This window comes from Homo sapiens, chromosome 10 (genome assembly GCF_000001405.40).
Source record: "Homo sapiens chromosome 10, GRCh38.p14 Primary Assembly".
Taxonomy (NCBI): domain Eukaryota; kingdom Metazoa; phylum Chordata; class Mammalia; order Primates; family Hominidae; genus Homo; species Homo sapiens.
In genome coordinates this window covers 53,790,199-53,813,429 of record NC_000010.11, presented here as the reverse complement: position 1 = coordinate 53,813,429, position 23,231 = coordinate 53,790,199, and the positions used below count along the sequence as shown (strand labels likewise).

Sequence of the window (23,231 nt, the reverse complement as noted above, 5' to 3'; positions counted from 1 at the left end):
TTATTCTGGTGAATAAACTATACTAGTTTTAACATCAAAATTGGATTCCTTTAGAGTAGGTTCACAAAGTATTTGTAAACGGCAAAATTATAAGATAGAAGAAGTAATGCAAGCGTCAATACCTACAGGATCTAGGGTAGTAATGTAAGTGAATGGAGTTTATTAGACACAAAGCAATAGCAGATGACAGATTTCATAGTGACTAGGGTATGAATGTAGAAAAGTGTCGTTGGGGATACTGTCATAAACAGGAGAGGACATGCTTGCTGTAAAAATTAATCTAGCCAACTAGATTATTGGAATGTAAAAATATGATCCTAGTGTTTCCATCTTTTTATTTTTCAAGAGAAACCAACATCCACAGTGTTGGTGTCATTTTCTGATTAGCACTGTTAGTAATGAATTCAATTTTTTAAAATGATGTTGGCCACACCAAGCACAACTGAGGGTCTTTATCCATATCAATCATGCAGGCTGTAAATTTCCACACTTCGCAAATGACATATTTGTGCCCTCAGAGGAGGGCTTTTTATTTCCTGACTCATTACTATTCCTGGATCAACAAAATTAAATTTTTATAAATAATAGATGATAGAAATATGTACCAATCTATTTTCATGTGAGTACCTATCCTTTTCCCCCCTCTCTTCTCGTATTCCATTGCGAAATGAATTTGGTTAACCTTTGTCATTTAACCTGCTTAACATGTTAAAGTAGAATTTAAAAGGGAAATGTAGAGAAATTGCATTTGATAGTTATCAGAAACCGTTTTCACATGTATATCTCAAGAAAAACATCTTTCTATAAGTAGAGTTTGACAGAAATCAATCAGTATGTTTAGAGTTTAGAACTGGAAATATTAAAAGGACCTCTATTCTAACAAATTCTTTTTTTCCTTTAAAAACCTTAAATTTAGAGGCCAGGCACAGTGGCTCACGCCTGTAATCCCAGCACTTTGGGAGGCCGATTGGGGCTGATCACGAGGTCAGGAGATCAAGAACATCCTGGCTAACATGGTGAAACCCCGTCTCTACCAAAAAAAAAAATACAAAAATTTAGACGGGCGTGGTGGCGGGCGCCTGTAGCCCCAGCTACTCGGGAGGCTGAGGCAGGAGAATGGCATGAACCCTGGAGGCAGAGCCTGTAGTGAGCCAAGATCACGCCACTGCACTCCAGCCTGGGCGACTCAGCGAGACTCCGTCTCAAAAAAACAAAACAGACAAACAAAAAACCCTTAAATTTAGAATCAGCAGTATGTTTTAAAGTATAAACATCCTTGGGAAGCATTACACATTAACTTAAATTCTTGTTCTCAGATGACTTTATCAGAACAGTTTCAATGAATAGAAGAATACTGGGTACTAGAAAACTGTTAGTGGGGAGATGAAAAAAAATGCTGTAGATAGTGTTATAATTTTTCTTAAGGCCAACATCACTTAATAATTTAACTTAAAATTGAGTTAAATATTAACTATTGATTGATAATTTTAAAAGACATCCAAAAACAAGTGAAAATGCTCATCTGCAAGTTTTAACAGGTTTGCCATTAGAAAAAAATTACTTTTTCCTCTTCAGGTCAAATTATATAACCTTATTTTGTATCAAATGGTTACAGCCAGAAAAAAATGAATAGATTTGACTAACACTTTTAAATAGAGTAATTTTAATTGCTTTAACTGACACTTGTATTTAAAGTTATTTTGGCAGGAATGTTTTGAGAATCATGGAATTCTAGGTGTAGAAATCTGACTTTGACCTGAAACGTGATAAGAATTCGTTTTCAAATGCAATTTTTCTTTTTGAACAATAGGAATTATCCATGGAGTCTGGAATTGATCCTGGCCAGGAATATGGACAAGATTATTACAGTTATGAGCATGGGTACATCTTCAGATTTTTAAAATTCAGATTCTTATTTTAATATTTTATTAATAGGAAATTATTAAATGATTATTATTACTAGAATTTGTTTTTAATGTCATGTCGATCTCACTAGTATAATACTTGAAAATGAATAGTATATCTAGCTTTATTTTTAACCAAGTTTTAACCATTTTTCTATATTGAGTTCCATATTGATATTTTACATTGATATCGATTGCAATTCTAGAAATGCGGTAAAATTATTCAAAATTATTTATATGGGAAATAGATGTGAAACATATTTGCTCAATTCCTAAATTCACCATTTCTTTCATATAAGATGTTAATGTTTTATCTAATCAGTTTAAAGTTTTGCCCAAGAGCAGTTAGGAAACAGAAAACACACCTTAGAATCCACTGATAAGTGTCTCAAAAGTCACTTGTACACATATAAATTAACCACTTTCAAAAAAAATACTGAAGAAATTGTGAAAACCATTACAGACCATGTTTGAAGCAACTTCTTGCTACCAACATACAGATTTAATGTGGTGAATGAGCCATTACACTGTTCCAAAGTATCTATTTTGTGTTCTGGATTCTTCAGCTAGTTAAGACACAATATGGCTTTTTTCTCGTTCTAGTTTCTCCAAAAACGAGTATCTGAAATAACTCAACTCTCTTTATTGTTATTCCAGGGTACCATTATGGCAAAAATCACTGGTCATCAGGTAGCAGTTCTTACTCTATAGTTTTGTAACTAGTTTACAAGGAGCCTGATAGGTGCTGTGTAAATATCTGTCGATTGAATGGCGGAAGAAAAAGAAGGAAACAGATCACTCATGGTAGATTCTACAGAAATCACATGACAAACTGTTTAAAGATGTAAGTTTATATTACAGGTATGAAATGCCTCAATATGGGAGTCGCCGTCGATTGTTACCACCAGCTGGACAGGAGGAATATGGTGAGGTGGTTGGTGAAGCTGAGGAAGAATATGAGGAGGAAGAGGTAATTACTGTAATTTTATTATGTAAGATAATATTCCAAGAAAAATATTGTTTAACCCTACGTGACTAGCGGCTGTAGAACATTTCAGCTTTTAGAAATTCCTTTCACTTAGTACGTATTTCCCATAGAAATTTCACAGTGCTGACCGTTTCATTGCCTTGTCTTTGGAGGAAAATTAATTCTTGATCATTTAATTTATTTCCTTCTAAAAGTGTTAAACATTTGGAAAGGGCACAATGAAAATTATGTTTTCTAAAATTCTAAATCTTGCTCCATAAAGATATTATAAGCAAATATATTTTAAAGTTCTGCAATACAAAGGTTACTTTTGCTCCCACATTATCTAGCAAAACTAAAAGTCATGAAAAAATATAGTCTCCACCTTTCAATTATCAGAGAAAAGTAAATTATTTCCACAAATAATTTTCAAGGAATAATGTAATTTATGTTTAAATTAGCATGACTCATTTCTATAAAATTCTTATACTTTGTCTTCACTATTTACTTGGCAAATTTATACAAAAACAACACTAACAAGAAATAAATGTCACTGTGGCTTTAACATGTGCAAAATTTCATAAAATAGATTTCTCATAAAATGAGATAAATCGTCATATTTTCGTGATTATTGAAAATTCTTGAAAATTTAGTTCAAGGGAATACAGAAAGCTATTAACCTAAGTCTAGTGACAGAAGAAGGAAGGAAGGAAGAGACAATAATTCTTTCTTTTTTATTTGATCTAAGAGGAAAATTAAACGTTGAGTAACAAGAAGGAAATTAATATATTTGGGTATTGTAAAGTACAAGCTAAAATAAAATAATTTACTTTCTCTTAATCACCTTCTGTCTATATGCAGTAGAAATTTTTGTGATTATTTTCTTAAGCCAGTTATATAACATGCATGAAGCTATCACCCACAGATTCATTCCTGCGTAGCTTTCGTGGGACAAGGTCATACCATAGCTATCTCCAAGCTGACACTTCAATTGCATTTTCACAATTTTCAGGAAGAGCCAAAGAAAATTAAAAAACCAAAGGTTGAAATTAGAGAGCCTAGTGAGGAGGAAGAAGTAGTTGTAACTATCGAAAAACCACCAGCAGCTGAGCCTACATACACAACATGGAAGAGAGCCAGAATATTCCCCATGATTTTTAAGAAAGTTAGAGGATTAGCTGATAAAAGAGGAATCGTTGACCTTGAGGGTGAAGAGTGGCAGAGACGCCTTGAGGAAGAAGATAAAGATTATTTGAAACTCACTCTGGACCAAGAGGAAGCAACAGAAAGCACTGTAGAATCAGAGGAGGAATCCTCCAGCGACTATACTGAATACAGTGAAGAAGAGTCTGAGTTCAGTGAGTCTGAGACTACAGAAGAGGAATCTGAGTCAGAGACACCCTCTGAGGAGGAGGAGAGTTCCACCCCTGAATCAGAAGAATCGGAATCCACAGAGTCAGAAGGAGAAAAAGCAAGGAAAAACATTGTGCTTGCAAGAAGAAGGCCCATGGTTGAGGAGGTCAAGGAAGTCAAGGGTAGGAAAGAGGAGCCACAAGAAGAACAAAAAGAACCTAAGATGGAAGAAGAAGAACACTCAGAAGAAGAAGAAAGTGGACCAGCCCCTGTGGAAGAAAGTACAGACCCTGAAGCTCAAGATATCCCTGAAGAGGGCAGTGCAGAATCAGCTTCGGTGGAAGGAGGTGTGGAAAGTGAGGAGGAATCAGAATCAGGTAGTAGTAGCAGTAGTAGCGAAAGTCAGTCTGGAGGTCCATGGGGCTATCAGGTACCAGCGTATGACAGAAGCAAGAATGCAAACCAAAAGAAGTCGCCAGGAGCAAACTCTGAAGGTTACAACACAGCACTTTGAAAGAGATCACAGTAGGTGGAAGTTTTGCTGTGATGAGTGCTCTCGTGTGCAGTGCCTTCTGTGTGTTCTCCAAAGTGACACTTGAAAGGGAGGAAATTGATCAAGATTTTGATATGACTTATGATCAGAAGCATGCCAGAAAAGTGAATATATATGTTGTCCAAATCCATTTGTATATTAGACTGTATTAGAGTAAAACTGACTAATCCTTCCTATATTAGTAAATCAGAACACATGCAATCAGCTAATCAATATTTAATATTTACTGGTAGGATTTTTGTTAATGCAATGTGGCATTATGTATTATCAGTGACACTCTGTCTATTGGAATGGATGGCATATATATATATATATATATATACACACACACACTATATATGTTTTTATATCATCTTTCAAAATAAATACTAAGACAAGCTTCAACAAATTATATCTTTAACAGTCGTCTACTTTTGCATATATGTACGTTTCAACTGGCAAAGGTATTATAAAAACTATCATGAACATGTTCAAATAAGTAAGTTTGTATCTGCAACTTCAAGTATTAGGAATTCAATGAAATAACATTTTTCAATTAATTAAAAGTTATTACAGCTTATTTTCTGTTATTATTAGCTACAGTGGATTTAAAAATAAATGTAACAGGCATAAAATTTTTTCTAGGTAAATAAACTATAATTTTGAAATATAGTTCTGAAAATGAGAATGCATGCAATGTGTTGATAGTTCACATATTCCAAAAATGCGATACTATTTTGAGAAAAACACAGTATTGCTTAACCCTTGCTTCTTGCTATTTTTAATGTTGATTGGTAAAAGTCAAATGAATTTGTGAAAATGTCCAGTTGCTTACAAAAGGAAAGTTTAGTATAATAATTAGCTTTCAGTTTTGTGTATTACTAGGTAAATGATGCAGGCTGAGAAGATATTTCCTTTTAAGTTAGTATATCTAAATGGGACAACCCAGAAAACCAGGATATGTCAAGTAAATAAATGCATTAAATTATACATCAAGTAAATAAGTAAAGTCAAGTAAATAAATGCTTAAATTATACAAAATGCATTAAATTATACAAAAGTTTTCGCTAACTAGAGAATACATTAAAAATTAGAATGATGTGGTTTAAAAATATTTTTTAAATATTGGGAATAGAAGCGTTAATATGAACAGAATATACTAAAGCTGTTCATTCCTTTCAATTTAACTTTCCTGAATAGTAGAGCAGCTGTCAAATAGTGGATCAGCTCCTTAAATAAAAGTAATACATTTTTTTCCATGTGGATCAGTAATTTGATCTAAAAGAATACATGTGTTTCCTGAAATGTCTGCTTTCCAACTCAACAATACATTTTTCAAACATTAATAAGAAAGATCTAAAGCCAATAAAGGATTGATGAAAGGAAATGTATGTTAATAAAGACTGGCTTCCTTCTATCTCTCTTGAGTGATTTACCTTTGACAGCTTTCTAAATGTCATTGTTTTGGATTTCACAGGCAATGTAATCATTGCCTTTTTAATTTATTTGATAGTGACTCACATATTTTTGTTTATTTTATCAGTGGGCAAGAAAAAGAATGATCAAGTTAGTTGTTGATCGAGAGTATGAAACCAGCTCAACTGGAGAAGACAGTGCTCCTGAATGTCAGAGAAACCGTCTTCACCATCCTAGTATCCACAGTAATATCAACGGCAATATATATATTGCACAGAATGGTTCTGTGGTGAGAACCCGCCGTGCCTGCCTCACGGACAACTTAAAAGTTGCTTCCCCTGTTCGACTGGGAGGGCCCTTTAAGAAACTAGACAAGTTGGCAGTGACACATGAGGAGAATGTACCTCTGAACACATTATCAAAGGGGCCATTTTCTACTGAAAAAATGAATGCAAGACCAACTCTGGTTACATTTGCCCCTTGCCCTGTGGGGACTGACAATACAGCGGTGAAGCCACTAAGGAACAGGCTGAAAAGCACAGTTGAACAGGAGTCCATGATTGACAGTAAGAACATCAAGGAGGCTTTGGAATTTCATAGTGACCACACACAGTCTGATGATGAAGAGCTTTGGATGGGCCCCTGGAACAACCTCCATATACCAATGACAAAACTGTGACCAATTTTTTAAAAGATATTTTAATTAATTTTTACTTACATTTTTAATAAACTGTGCTTTTTATTGTCACTGAGAAAACAATGTATGGAATTTATATCATGCACACAAGCTAAAACTTTGAACAATATGCTTTAAAATTTTAAGAGACAGATTTGCACTCACATTGTTATCAATTAATCGTTTTTCCCAGAAAATCCTTTTGGACATACTTTCACTAAATAACCTATCGTTTAAACATTTAGCTGTTTTGTTGGGTCTTGAATTTTTGTTCATTTTAATAAACAAGAAATAATTACTAAATAATCATTTATATTTTATTGATTAACATAGATTATGCTTTATTTCTAGCTCCACAAAACATTTTTAGTACATGTAATTTTATTTTCCATAGCCAAAAGGGCAAAAAAGAAGTAAGAGGATATTTACAGGCAATGAGTTTATACAGCTGCTGTCTATACTGCCCTAATTTTTAAAATGAAAGCTAGAATTGCAAAGTAAAGTAAATGAGGGAATCACCTGTAAATAATTAATTATTTTAAATCATGAGCTTGTTTTCTTTCTTTATTGTCCTGTATAAAGGTTTTCACATTTTACCATAAATACATTTATATCTTGACCCTTTAGGAAACCACTTGAAGTCGTATGTCTTTTTATCAATATTATTTACAATATTCTCTTGTCCCTTCATCTCATATCAAATATGGTAGATACTTTAGTTTAGTTTAATCACTTGAGGTTAAATAATTGTTTGGAGCAACATGGAAATCTCACCCTTAGCAAAAGCTTTTAGGGAAGTGAGAAAGGTTCGAGTAAGCAGTAATGCATCTAGAACGACAATTTCATAATGGAAGACATGGTGAGGTTAGGGAAGTCTCACATTAATGTCACTAGACTTTAATAGTTTGTAAACCCAGCATATCAGAGTAAAGGAATTTGGCAGGGTTGAAATGTATATAATATATAAAGCTTATAAAGGCTATGAATTCATAACTTCAAATGTTGTGTTTAACTTCTTCCATTTTCAGGTTATTTATAGAATATTTTAATGCACATATTTATGTGCCTAAAATCCAGAACCAGGAAATCATTGCCTGGGCATTTTTTAAAATCAAAGAACATGGTCTTGATTTTTTACCATTGAACAAAGCACAGTGTTTCATCATAAGTAGAAATGAAAACAGAATATCCTTTAAAAAACTTGCCTTGTGTGTTGCTTATTTTCCAGATGATGTAAAAAGAATGAAACAATATAGATTAAGAGAATTCAGAATTCTATTGAATATTACTTAGTATGATATAGATGTAGCTCACTTCAAATTTTGCACAGTATTGACCAAGTTCAGGTTTTAATGAAATTTCCTCATGCATGCTTAATATATGGTTGAAGGACTGAATAATGCACTATTATTTATTCCCCTCTTACATGTTTCGCGTCTTAAAAATTGTTTATTATTATGCTATTTCCTCATTTCCAAAGTGAATGAATTGTACTGACATAAACTTGCCGACTTGTAAGAGTAGTATGTTTTTACTTCAGATTTCCAAGAAAATATTTGAGATCAAATACAGTAACATCTCATCTACCTTATTTTATTGAGAATTAATGCATTCCATACCCTTGCCAAAAAAACAAAACAAAACAAACAAACAAAAAAAAACCTAGTGGCATTAGCTAGATTAGAAACGTAGAATCATGACCACACCTCCTGGCCTGCCAAACAAGCATCCACATTTTCAAAAGATCCTAAGGTGGTTTATATGCACATTAAATTTTGGAAGCAATGAAGTCCGGGGCTTATTCCTTCAGGCACCAAAGCAATGGTTTTTAGTATAGGATACTTTGTATAGGAATTAGATTAAGCATATATTTCCCTACTAATTCAATCAGAGGTCATCGAATATAATTTAATATTATCTTGATACCCCCAGATCATCTCAGTCAGCATCCCTTGATATTCTCTCTATATACAGCTTCATGGCTGCGTTTTTGTCCTTTGATTTCTGGCTGTGACATTTAACTTATTCTGTTGTTGTGCCTTTCTCACATTTTTTTCTTTCAGTTTATAGCTTCTAGTATCCTGATGGGAAAGTTTGTGTTTTTTGTTTGTTTTCTTAATGTTGAAAAATCATGAAGCTTAAGATGGGAATTAGGTACACGGATTCAACCAAATGTTTTGCGACTCTTAGACGCTTTCTTTGGTTACCAGTAGATTTGGAAATATGATGTTGGCAGAAGTCTAGTGGCCTGACATATGAGATGTCACTGTATTTTAAACTACATTTTTTATGAGAAAATATGCAAAATTTTACAAGCCACTTAGCAGACACATTTCAGTAATTTAAACTTGATCATTTCAGTAAAAACAATCATGAGGTCAATCATCTGTTACTTAATGGAGATAGTATAAAGAGAAGCAGAATTTACACAGAGCAACCAAACCAAATATTTGGTCAGTATATTTTTGGGTAACGTAGAGCAGCAAAATTATTACTAACTAAATAAATCTGGATCAATTAAATAGTTACTTTCATAGAACTTTCACTAGTCTATAAATCCCTGACTCAGGATTAAAACTGTGGAACCCAGAGGAAATACCCAGGTATGTTTAATCTTAAGAATACTTCATATAAATAACGTTTCAATGTAAATATTTATAAAGAAATTGGTTGTTATTTTTCCTAGGAAGGTGTAGGAAGGTTTTCTTGTTGTTCTCAATCAGCACTAGCTTCAATCAGGCAGAAGAAACAGCAGGTCTTGGCTAATCGAGGTGAGAACAGAATGATGTAATGACTAATATTGCAACCCGTTGATTTTAGAAGGTCTTGTGGGCATTAAGGGAAAGCAGAGGAAGAATGAGAAAATATGGTCAGAGTGACATAGGACATTTGTGACTTAATGACCATCGAATCACAGGTGTTAATCTCCCTCTCTCAATTTGTCTTTCTCATTAATTACAGACTCTGAGAGTTGTCATAGAATTGCAACCGTAGGTTGGCCAAAACCATCTTTTTAAAATACAGAAGAAAGTTTGCCTTGAATTTTATATGTGATATGTCATTCATGTTATTTTACCACATTGTTCACAGGGATGTTAAAGACTATTATTTACTTAAGTGGTTGTTCCAAAGGTGATTCAGTAGTTACCATTAAAATATTATTTAAAAACATTTTTATATCATAGAGCCAGAAGTAATTGAATATTGACTCTCGAGGGAAGACATTTTCTGTCTTTTATTTCATGAGCTTTGATTTTTCTCTTTCTCTGCTTCACCTTCTGCACTTTATACCTTAAGTGGGATTTATATACCACTTGAATTTAATTAGCAAAATAGGCAAAAAGTGCTAATAATCTATTCTCAGGGCAGATGCCTATTGGTGCCTGCAAATTACACAGCGATAAGGCTGAAGGATAGGTTCAAAATAATGTTGAGGACTTACACATTTTATAGATAGTTTCTTTCTATTCCCAAATGGTATGTGAAATTTTTGTTCTATTTTTTTTATTGGTTTTCAATAGTTAATTTTGATCTTTATCATAAGAAGCTTTAGTTATAGACTGGTATTTTTTTCATTGCAATCTACTTTAAATTTATGGTCAGTTAAGCACATGTATGGAAGATTCGAACATTGTCTATAGTTTGAAAAATCTATCAACACCTTCACTGCTTTCCCAATTTCTTTATCCAAATACCTGTTCTTCCTTAACAAATATTATGTTACTGTATAAGAATCTGAATTAGAAGTTTTAAGTTAAAATGCATTGTTATTCACTACACAATGTTTCAAAAATAAATTTTCATTTGAAAAGATGATTTCTCATTACTCTGTCAGGTGGGGATAAAAATCAGTAACTATTTTCACATTTACATGTTGAGTATTTCAGCCTGATAATAAAAGCCTGCTCTGCAACCTCTTATCTTAGAACAATGTGGAGGAAAGAAGTGTATCTTAAAACTTCTACCCATTCTTTTCCCATTTCAATCATGTACTCATGCCACAAAGTTCTAAGAAAAATGGAAACTGTTTCCTAACATACCACCTATTCATTTATATATAAAAAAATTGTAATTACATAAACATTAAGGTTTTCACATATGATCAGTTTATTATGTTTATAGAAATGCTAAATGGCAGCATAAATGTGGCAAGAAGCAGAGTCAACGTGAAATTACATATTTTAACATGGTTGAGTCTGACGTTTCAGAGACTCATAATTTATCTCTCTCTACCCCCAACACCCACCCTCTCTCTGTCTCTTTTTTCTCTGTTAAAATATGCTCCTATTTCTCTGGTCACATGCAGCTTCCTGAGTTTCTAATGCAGTTGATGATATAATAATTTCAGTTGTCTTTTATCTCAAATAATCAGGAATGAGAGAAATAAATTTTCTAAAACAGCCAACTTGGACATAGACAGAATTCTTGGTCTATTGCCTTTTTTCTCTACAACTGTTAGAACAGAATTTTGTATACCATGTATTTCCAGTGCCCAGCATGACTATTTGCATAAACAACAGCTGCTGAGAAAAATATTGCATTAAATAGAATGAATTACTTCTAGCCCTATCACCATGTAACCTTTGGCACATCATTTTATAATTTATCCCTATAGTAAAAATTGTAAAATGGCAATAATAACATCCACTTCAATTAAGAGCTAAAATCAGATATTTAATCTGAACATATTGTGATTTCTATAAAGGTATATGTACAGAATTAAAGATTACAAAATTGCCTTCATGTTCTTCTCCACAGATTTAGCCAGATTCTAGTATTGTCCGGCTAAATGCCAGTGTAAATTTTATTTACCTACCTTACATAGTAGATATTTTAAGTTATAAGAAAATACAATATCTTCCCCATGCTAATACATGTATATGTTTTTAAAGAGAAGTAAAATAAAACTGTAGTATTTTTTTGTCTTTTGAATTGGCCTATTGCATAGTTTAAAATTTTAAAAAGTGAACACTGTTAAAAAGAGCACCACACAAAGTCTGGGCTACACTGAAGACTTCAGCGGCTTCATGTCTGTGAATGCAAAGAAATACTTAGAAGTCTGTCCTAAAATATGTCACATTTCAATTTAAGTACTTACCCTAAATATGCCTTTAATGTAGAGTAATTGCTGAATTAACACTGGCTCTTTTGGATTTGTTGTGAAACAGGCTAGGTTTATTTCAAAATCTAGGCCGTGTTTACCTATTATTTCTCTCTAATCCCAGCAGAATTATTTACACAAATAAGCCTACGGACAAAAGCTGATTTTAAAATATCAATATCTGTAACTCTGTATGTATCCCCTTTGTTTCCTATTCCCCATCAAATTTCTTTACCTTGCCATCTTCTATAAAGGATTCTGAATTTTCTAACCTTGTAAAAATATCAGTTATAGTCCAATGAGAAGAAAAGGGGGCATTTTAGCTAGCTAAAGTGTATATAAATGATATAAATCAATACATACTTATATTTAAATTAGTTTAGGTACAAAAACACTTAAATTCATAGAAATAAAACAGTATATCAATATCAACATATTGATTTTATGGACTCTTACATGTCGTATTTTATTTATCCCGTTGAATTAACATCAATATTAGATGCCACAGCTTTTCTCCAGAGGTACAAGCACTCATTCACATAATATTAAGACATTTTGGGGTCTTTCTGAGTGATGATGGCTAAATACATAGCCTAAAGGTATATATTCTGATGGAACAAATGTTTGCCTTTTAAAAGTAAATCACACATACTATATGACTGTTAAAATTAATATGTAAAGCCTTATTTACACTAACATGTATAGTTGAACTATCGTAACTATAACTTAGATTGTGGAGTAATAGTATAGGCTAAAAATAAGCATCTATACTGCATCATTAGGTTACCATCGTATTCCTGTTACTGGGAGAAAAGTTTACCCAAAGAATCATTGTCCTTGACATCAAGGAAGACATAATTTGCCCAAGCAACCAGCATGTCATTAACCAGTCATTTTCCAATGTTAGTAACTACAGGGGGGCTTGAAGGATAAATCTTGGCCTCTAGTAATTCCTTTGTTACCATATTACATTGATCACATCCCAACCTTTTTTATTTAATTTTCATAACTACAAAATTAGTTTGGATATCAGTATGCTAGGGCCTTTTTTAGCAGAAGCTGAAATAATGGGCACAATAGTCCCTTGAAACCAGCACTGCAACTGTGGTTTACAGAACTAGCTGCTGTGCCCATCTCATGCCTGTGCTATTTATTTAGACCCCATTTCAGAATAAAAAGGTCTTAGGGTGATTTACAAAAATGCATACACTACAAAAGAAGAAATAAAGGTAAAAGAATTAGACAAAAGGAAAATAAAGATAGAGAAGAGTAAACGTGGGACTTGGGTTAGCATTCACACTTATGCCCTCATGGTTCCATACATTAAATATTTAGGCTACAAATATAGCTCTAATCTCCCAGACATCAGATCAAAAAAGGAAAACAAACAGGATTAGTTACAAGATTCATAGTGTGCATAAAGTTAGAAACAATTAATGATGGAAAGTCAGCTTTGCCCGCTACCAAGACCTGAGAGAAATTTTTGCTAAGGGTCTTTATTAAAAGTATGTTATATTATACATTGGCTTAGTAGTGGTCATTCAAATTTTATTTCTTTGCTTCTTGTTTCTTTTTGCATAGCTTGCAAACATCAGCCTTTCCTCCAGGAGTTCTTCAAGTGTTTGACTCTATCATCCTGTTATCAATGCCTCTTACAATGATTGCTAAAAGGGTAAATTGCCAGAATATTTTCCACTTTCACTAGCATTCTTTCTTGCCAAAAGATTTATATTAATCCTACTTTAATTAAGTCATTAATCAAAGGCCAGGTTGTAAAGGTCTGCAATTTTCATAGTTCTATAACTGTGCTGTTTGCTGATGATAGCGTATGTAAATGCAGACCTAATTCTTCAGAATACAGATTTTTTTCCCTTGAAGTTCTAGCCTGACTATAGGGAAATTTTTTTAGAGAAATGAAACTGTCTTTTATAAAGTGGGTAAAAATATGAAGAATATAGCATCACCTTAATTGTTTGCCTAAGTTACCTTAATTACATTAACCATATTATCATTTTATATTAATACTTATATATTTGTATGATAGATGTATTATTTTCATAGATGTGCTGATAAACCAGCTCTCCAGAAGAACAATACAAAACAATAACAAAAACAGATTTGTTGTGTTTGTAGATTTCCATGATACAAATACACCCACCATAGTCAATTTCAAGCCACTGATGGGCTTAATAGCCAGTTTGCTGAATTCTTGAAAATTTCAAAATTGGTTCTTGCAAGCCAGTATAGACTTGGCTTACATGTGTTGTACTAGTGCAATTGTTAATAGTAACTACTTTCATTCTCAAAAAAGGAAGCAGAAACTTTCTCTGGAAATCAAAAATCTTGGCTGGATGTGGTGGCTCATGCATTTTGGTAGGTCAAGGAAGGAGAATTGTTTGAACCCAAGAATTTGAGATTAGCTTAGGCAATATAGCAAGAACCTGTCTCTACAAGAAAAAAAAAAAGTTAGCAAGGCATGGTGGTACATGCCTATAGTCTTAGCTACTTGGGAGGGTGAGGCAGGAGGATCACTGGAAACGAGGATTGTGAGGTTACAGTGAGCTATGCTCATGCCACTGCACTCAGTCTGGATGACAGAGGGAGATTCTTTCTCAAAAAAAAAAAAAAAAAAGAAAGAAAGTCTTCACAAGAAGGCTGATGCCTAAAGGACCACAGAAAGTGGTCAAAGAGACAAGCCTGTGCATACAATGGGAAAAGAGGAGAGACCAAGAGAATTCAGTAAGATGCTCATTAAGCAGAAAGGCCATTTTGTGCAAAGGCCAGAAATGTAAGGGAATTAAGGGACATATTTAAAGAAAACTACCAATAATTCAGTTTCACATTTTCATAAAATGCAATTGCATGGTGTGGGGTTAGGAAATAGAAAAATAAACCTATGTTTTAGGCAAGAACTAAATCATTAATAAACCTATTTCTGTCTTATCACATAGACAATTTGCAATCACTTCAAACAAATCTAAACAAGAGAGAAGAGCACTTAAATGTTATATATAAGATGAAAAGCGGACTTCATAATGAATATGAAGAATAGGAAGCAGGAGAAAATTTCAGCATAGAAGGCCTGGATTCAAACTTTAGTTCACTAATGAATGTATTAATGGACCTTTCTATTGTTAAGCCCAAGGACCATTTCTTAATGTTATTATGTACTCTTCTTTTTCGTGTTTAAGTTAGCACCACCTATTCTTCTACTGTGGATTTCTCCTCTTTTTCATCTCTCACCATCTTCAGGACTTACACAATCTTCCCATATCCTCTTGTTCATTTTGATACCTTAGGAAAAAAATGAGCTTAAATAATATTTTGAAAATATTAAATTAATGAATGTGTAATTCATATTTTCTCACAGTCATGCCACCTAACCACCTAACAAAGAAGAAACACAGCCTAGTGATTAAGCTTTGATTTGAGCAAGATCGCATTGGTCCAAATCCTGGCTTTACTACTATCTAGCTAAATCCTTTATCTGTAAAATGAGAAAAATAATAGTATTTATCCTATGGGCTATTATGAGGATTAAATTAGTTAATTTTTGTAAAGCTTTTAGAACAACTCTTGCATATAATAGACACTACATAAGTGTGCAGGGGGAAAATCACTTCACGAAAGAAAGGGGTGGAGGAGCCAAGATGGCCCAAGAGGAACAGCTCCGGTCTACAGCTCCTAGCGTGAGCGACGCAGAAGACGGGTGATTTCTGCATTTCCATCTGAGCTTCGAAGAGAGCAGTGGTTCTCCCAGCACGCAGCTGGAGATCTGAGAACGGGCAGACTGTTTCCTCAAGTGGGTCCCTGACCCCTGACCCCCGAGCAGCCTAACTGGGAGGCACCCCTCAGCAGGAGCAGACTGACACCTCACACGGCCGGGTACTCCAACAGTCCTGCAGCTGAGGGTCCTATCTGTTAGAAGGAAAACTAACAAACAGAAAGGACATCCACACCAAAAACCCATCTGTACATCACCATCATCAAACACCAAAAGTAGATAAAACCACAAAGATGGGGAAAAAACAGAGCAGAAAAACTGGAAACTCTAAAAAGGAGAGTGCCTCTCCTCCTCCAAAGGAACGCAGTTCCTCACCAGCAATGGAACAAAGCTAGACGGAGAATGACTTTGACGAGCTGAGAGAAGAAGGCTTCAGACGATCAAATTACTCCGAGCTACAGGAGGAAATTCAAACCAAAGGCAAAGAAGTTGAAAACTTTGAAAAAAGTTTAGAAGAATGTATAACTAGAATAACCAATCCAGAGAAGTGCTTAAAGGAGCTGATGGAGCTGAAAGACAAGGCTCGAGAACTACGTGAAGAATGCAGAAGCCTCAGGAGCCGATGCGATCAACTGGAAGAAAGGGTATCAGCGATGGAAGATGAAGTGAATGAAATGAAGCGAGAAGGGAAGTTTAGAGAAAAAAGAATAAAAAGAAACGAGCAAAGCCTCCAAGAAATATGGGACTATGTGAAAAGACCAAATCTACGTCTGACTGGTGTACCTGAAAGTGACAGGGAGAATGGAACCAAGTTGGAAAACACTCTGCAGGATATTATCCAGGGGAACTTCCCCAATCTAGCAAGGCAGGCCAACATTCAGATTCAGGAAATACAGAGAATGCCACAAAGATACTCCTCGAGAAGAGCAACTCCAAGACACATAATTGTCAGATTCACCAAAGTTGAAATGAAGGAAAAAATGTTAAGGACAGCCAGAGACAAAGGTCGGGTTACCCACAAAGGGAAGCCCATCAGACTAACAGCGGATCTCTCAGCAGAAACTCTACAAGCCAGAAGAGAGTGGGGGCCAATATTCTACATTCTTAAAGAAAAGAATTTTCAACCCAGAACTTCATATCCAGCCAAACTAAGCTTCATAATTGAAGGAGAAATAAAATACTTTACAGACAAGCAAATGCTGAGAGATTTTGTCACCACCAGGCCTGCCCTAAAAGAGCTCCTGAAGGAAGCGCTAAACATGGAAAGGAACAACCGGTACCAGCTGCTGCAAAAACATGCCAAAGTGTAAAAACCATCGAGACTAGGAAGAAACTGCATGAACTAACGAGCAAAATAACCAGCTAACATCATAATGACAGGATCAAATTCACACATAACAATATTAACTTTAAATGTAAATGTGATAAATGCTCCAATTAAAAGACACAGACTGGCAAATTGGATAGAGTCAAGACCCATCAGTGAGCTGTATTCAGGAGACACATCTCACATGCAGAGACAGAGATAGGCTCAAAATAAAGGTATGGAGGAAGATCTACCAAGCAAATGGAAAAAAAAAATAGTGGTTGCAATCCTAGTCTCTGATAAAACAGACTTTAAACCAACAAAGATCAAAAGAGACAAAGAAGGGCATTACATAATGGTAAAGGGTTCAATTCAACAAGAAGAGCTAACTATCCTAAATATATATGCACCCAATACAGGAGCACCCAGATTCATAAAGCAAGTCCTGAGTGAACTACAAAGAGACTCAGACTCTCACACATTAATAATGGGAGACTTTAACACCCCACTGTCAACATTTGACAGATCAATGAGACAGAAAGTCAACAAGGATACCCAGGAATTGAACTCAGCTCTGCACCAAGCAGACCTAATAGACATCTACAGAAGTCTCCACCCCACATCAACAGAATATACATTTTTTTTCAGCACCACACCACACCTACTCCAAAATTGATCACATAATTGGAAGTAAAGCTCTCCTCAGCAAATGTAAAAGAACAGAAATTATAACAAACTATCTCTCAGACCACAGTGCAATCAAACTAGAACTCAGGATTAAGAATCTCACTCAAAACCGCTCAACTACATAGAAACTGAACAACCTGCTCCTGAATGACTACTGGGTACATAATGAAATGAAGGCAGAAACAAAGATGTTCTTTGAAACCAACGAGAACAAAGACACAACATACCAGAATCTCTGGGACGCATTCAAAGCAGTGTGTAGGGGGAAATTTATAGCACTAAATGCCCACAAGAGAAAGCAGGAAAGATCCAAAATTGACACCCTAACATCACAATTAAAAGAACTAGAAAAGCAAGAGCAAACACATTCAAAAGCTAGCAGAAGGCAAGAAGTAACTAAAATCAGAGCAGAACTGAAGGAAATAGAGACACAAAAAACCCTTCAAAAAATTAATGAATCCAGGAGCTGGTTTTTTGAAAGGATCAACAAAATTGATAGACCACTACCAAGACTAATAAAGAAAAAAAGAGAGAAGAATCAAATAGACACAATAAAAAATGATAAAGGGGATATCACCACCGATCCCACAGAAATACAAACTACCATCAGAGAATACGACAAACACCTCTACGCAAATAAACTAGAAAATCTAGAATAAATGGATAAATTCCTCGACACATACACTCTCCCAAGACTAAACCAGGAAGAAGTTGAATCTCTGAATAGACCAATAACAGGAGCTGAAATTGTGGCAATAATCAATAGCTTACCAGACAAAAAGAGTCCAGGACCAGATGGATTCACAGCCGAATTCTACCAGAGGTACAAGGAGGAACTGGTACCATTCCTTCTGAAACTATTCCAATCAACAGAAAAAGAGGGAATCCTCCCTAACTCATTTGATGAGGCCAGCATCATCCTGATACCAAAGCGGGGCAGAGACACAACCAAAAAAGAGAATTTTAGACCAATATCCTTGATGAACACTGATGCAAAAATCCTCAATAAAATACTGGCAAACCGAATCCAGCAGCACATCAAAAAGCTTATCCACCATGATCAAGTGGGCTTCATCCCTGGGATGCAAGGCTGGTTCAATATACACAAATCAATAAATGTAATCCAGCATATAAACAGAACCAAAGACAAAAACCACATGATTATCTCAATAGATGCAGAAAAGGCATTTGACAAAATTCAACAACCCTTCATGCTAAAAACTCTCAATAAATTAGGTATTGATGGGACGTATCTCAAAATAATAAGAGCTATCTATGACAAACCCACAGCCAATATCATACTGAATGGGCAAAAACTGGAAGCATTCCCTTTGAAAACGGGCACAAGACAGGGATGCCCTCTCTCACCACTCCTATTCAACATAGTGTTGGAAGTTCTGGCCAGGGCAATTAGGCAGGAGGAGGAAATAAAGGGTATTCAATTAGGAAAAGAGGAAGTCAAATTGTCCCTGTTTGCAGATAACATGATTGTATATCTAGAAAACCCCACTGTCTCAGCCCAAAATCTCCTTAAGCTGATAAGCAACTTCAGCAAAGTCTCAGGATACAAAATCAATGTACAAAACTCACAAGCATTCTTATACACCAATAACAGACAAACAGAGAGCCAAATCATGAGTGAACTCCCATTCACAATTGCTTCAAAGAGAATAAAATACCTAGGAATCCAACTTACAAGGGATGTGAAGGAACTCTTCAAGGAGAACTACAAACCACTGCTCAAGGAAATAAAAGAGGATACAAACAAATGGAAGAACATTCCATGCTCATGGGTAGGAAGAATCAATATCGTGAAAATGGCCATACTGCCCAAGGTAATTTACAGATTCAATGCCATCCCCATCAAGCTACCAATGACTTTCTTCACAGAATTGGAAAAAACTACTTTAAAGTTCATATGGAACCAAAATAGAGCCCACATCGCCAAGTCAATCCTAAGCCAAAAGAACAAAGCTGGAGGCATCACACTCCCTGACTTCAAACTATACTACAAGGCTACGGTAACCAAAACAGCATGGTACTGGTACCAAAACAGATATAGATCAATGGAACAGAACAGAGCCCTCAGAAATAACGCCGCATATCTACAACTATCTGATCTTTGACAAACCTGAGAAAAACAAGCAATGGGGAAAGGATTCCCTATTTAATAAATGGGGCTGGGAAAACTGGCTAGCCATATGGAGAAAGCTGAAACTGGATCCCTTCCTTACACCTTACACAAAAATCAATTCAAGATGGATTAGAGATTTAAACGTTAGACCTAAAACCATAAAAACCCTAGAAGAAAACCTAGGCATTACCATTCAGGACATAGGCATGGGCAAGGACTTCATGTCTAAAACACCAAAAGCAATGGCAACAAAAGCCAAAATTGACAAATGGGATCTAATTAAACTAAAGAGCTTTTGCACAGCAAAAGAAACTACCATCAGAGTGAACAGGCAACCTACAAAATGGGAGAAAATTTTCGCAACCTACTCATCTGACAAAGGCTAATATCCAGAATCTACAATGAACTCAAACAAATTTACAAGAAAAAAACAAACAACCCCATCAAAAAGTGGGCAAAGGATATGAACAGACACTTCTCAAAAGAAGACATTTATGCAGCCAAAAAAACACATGAAAAAATGCTCACCATCACTGGCCATCAGACAAATGCAAATCAAAACCATAATGAGATACCATCTCACACTAGTTAGAATAGCAATCATGAAAAAGTCAGGAAACAACAGGTGCTGGAGAGGATGTGGAGAAATAGGAGCACTTTTACACTGTTGGTGGGACTGTAAACTAGTTCAACCATTGTGGAAGTCAGTGTGGCGATTCCTCAGGGATCTAGAACTAGAAATACCATTTGACCCAGCCATCCCATTACTGGGTATATACCCAAAGGACTAGAAACCATGCTGCTAAAAAACACATGCACACGTATGTTTACTGTGGCACTATTCACAATAGCAAAGACTTGGAACCAACTCAAATGTCCAACAATGATAGACTGGATTAAGAAAATGTGGCACATATACACCATGGAATACTATGCAGCCACAAAAAATGATGAGTTCATGTCCTTTGTAGGGACATGGATGAAATTGGAAATCATCATTCTTAGTAAACTATCGCAAGAACAAAAAACCAAACACTGCATATTCTCACTCATAGGTGGGAATTGAACAATGAGAACACATGGACACAGGAAGGGGAACATCACACTCTGGGGACTGTTGTGGGGTGGGGGGAGGGGGGAGGGATAGCACTGGGAGATATACCTAATGCTAGATGACGAGTTAGTGGGTGCGGCTTACCAGCATGGCACATGTATACGTATGTAACTAACCTCCACATTGTGCACATGTACCCTAAAACTTAAAGTATAATAATAATAAATTTAAAAAAAAGAAAGAAAGGGGTTTGGGTGCAGTGGATCAGGCTTATAATCCCATATACCAGGGAGGCTGAAGAGAGAGGATCCCTTGAGCCCAGAAATTGGAGGCTGCTGTGAGTCTTGTTCATGCCACTGCACTTCAGCCTGGGTGACAGAGTGAGACTCCAACTCAGAAAAAAGAAAAAAAAAAAAAAAAAGGGGGATAGACTTAGGAGAAATCTCATGTAGCCAGGAATAGGAAACAGAAAACCTGCTTATTCCATCTTTGGGTAGATTGTGAGAAGGAGAAGGTGGTGACATGTATGCAATGTTATTTTCCCTCTCCTTTTCGCCCTGTCCCCCAGTCTCTGAATGGTGAAACACAGGAGTTTTTCATCTGATTCCCTGTTTAAGACATTGAGGACATTTTCTTTGTGTGTGGGGTGGGGTGGGGTGGGAGGGGGGTGGTTATGCCAACCTGGACAAGCTAGTCAGTGTATAAACAGTAGCTAGATAGGCAGACAGAGGCCAGAGTTTAGCTCCTGGGAGTCTACCCTCAATGTCACATTATATGGAAGTTGTACAGATGTTCTCACAAATTCTATGCATGAATGTGGAAGAGATGAGAACGTGCAAGGTGCGACCTTAGTAGGCTTTGAGTTAGGTCTGTATGGAAAGGCTCAAGTGTTACAAGGAGAAATTGGGAATGGACAAATGTTTCAGAGAGACTTCCAGGGTATAACTATTGCCAGCAGGAGCTGAAGCCATCCTGGGTCAACAGGGAAGACCACAGTATCTAGACCAAGCTGAAAGAACATGTCACAAGTTCACTCTCTGAAGACCTTAACATCATAAGTGTGCAGGTAGAACAGTGGTCAGAGGACCACAGAAAGTATCATCAGAAGCCAGCAAGAACCTGAAGAGCAGAAATAACTACACTTGCGTTTAAGATCCTATTCCTACATTATTATGTGCAAAAAGTGAGCAGCTCTGCAGTATATTCAGACACCATCTTGGATTGCAAAAGGTGGGGAGGGAGGAGCTGAATATCTAAGCACTTACTAAAAGGTGGACTGTTTAAACCAGAAAATATTGATACCTTGTTAACTGAAATGTTTACATCTTTTCTCTGAGCATCTGGATAGTGGATTTTGGCAAGGTTTAAATCAGCTATAAAAAAAAATAAAGACGCTTGTCCCTTTCTCATGTCTGCTATAGCAATCTTGGGAGAGAGGATAGCTGCTTTTCATTCTATTTGTTTCTGAGAAATAGATTTGAAGACTTTCAAAGATTAGATTACTGTGTTATAATTATCTGAGGGTCCTTATACATGTTCAAATTTTTAATTCTATTTGATATCATGATACAATATAATTATAGGTTTCTTCCTGCTTTTATTCCCACAATCTTTTCTCTTTCTCCTTCAGAGAACACATCTCAGAAAGTAGACTCAAAGACACAATTAACATGAACCAAAATGTTTTCCTGAGAGTCAGATAATTTACATCCTAACAACTTCCAAAATGATACATTTGTCACAGTGAATTTTGTATTTACTTCTTGGGGTATATATAGCTTTAGCTGGAACAAGAAAAACCTCCATGGAGCTTATAGTTTACTGCAGTATTCAAATAGTATTAAATATTTTGAAGGATATAAGAAGAAACAGATATATTTTACCAGTGCAGGATGGGACCTCCCTCCCTGCTTTTTAGGTTTCAGTTATCAAATCTGGTGATATCCAATAAAACTCTTAATAAACCGTGAAGTGATATGCCAATTGCTGTAAATAAAGACAAACGCAAATCCATCGCCACACATTTTTCTGGGGTGTTATTAACATGTACCGCTATTGTTAAAAATGTCAACTAGAATCTCTCTCCTGAGATCAACTGCCATATAGCGCCCAATGTGGGCTGGCAATCTATCCCAACTCACTTGGGATAGTCTGAATTTATGTCAATTGCTATTAATAACTACGTACAAGCATTCATTTCACTTTAAAATATACTCATTTGAATGGTAGATAAATTATGTAGTCACTCCACCAATTGGCATTTCCTCTTAAAGTTGCACAGAAACTTCAAATTCAGCGCAGTCTATTTTATCCCTTTCTCTCAAATCCTGTCAAGTAGGTTGTCGCTCACTTGTATCCTAGTCCTTTTAATGGCTCC

General features: G+C 35.5%; 1 protein-coding gene across 10 annotated transcripts in view; it reads left to right on the top strand.

Annotated features, from left to right (window-relative positions):
• PCDH15 (protocadherin related 15) overlaps positions 1–10,659 on the top strand; it is a 1,825,172-nt gene extending 1,814,513 nt beyond the window's left edge. For 4 of the 10 annotated variants that reach the window (XM_047425663.1, NM_001354420.2, NM_001142772.2 and 1 more), the window contains 2 exons: positions 2,766–2,874; positions 6,300–10,659. In XM_047425663.1, the coding sequence (XP_047281619.1) occupies positions 2,766–2,874; positions 6,300–6,851 (661 nt within the window). In that variant the 3' untranslated portion in view covers positions 6,852–10,659. Of the gene's footprint in view, positions 1–1,810; positions 1,882–2,765; positions 2,875–3,883; positions 5,361–6,299 lie in introns of those variants that run through there. The other 6 variants (NM_001354429.2, NM_001384140.1, NM_001354411.2 and 3 more) reach the window with 4 other exon arrangements.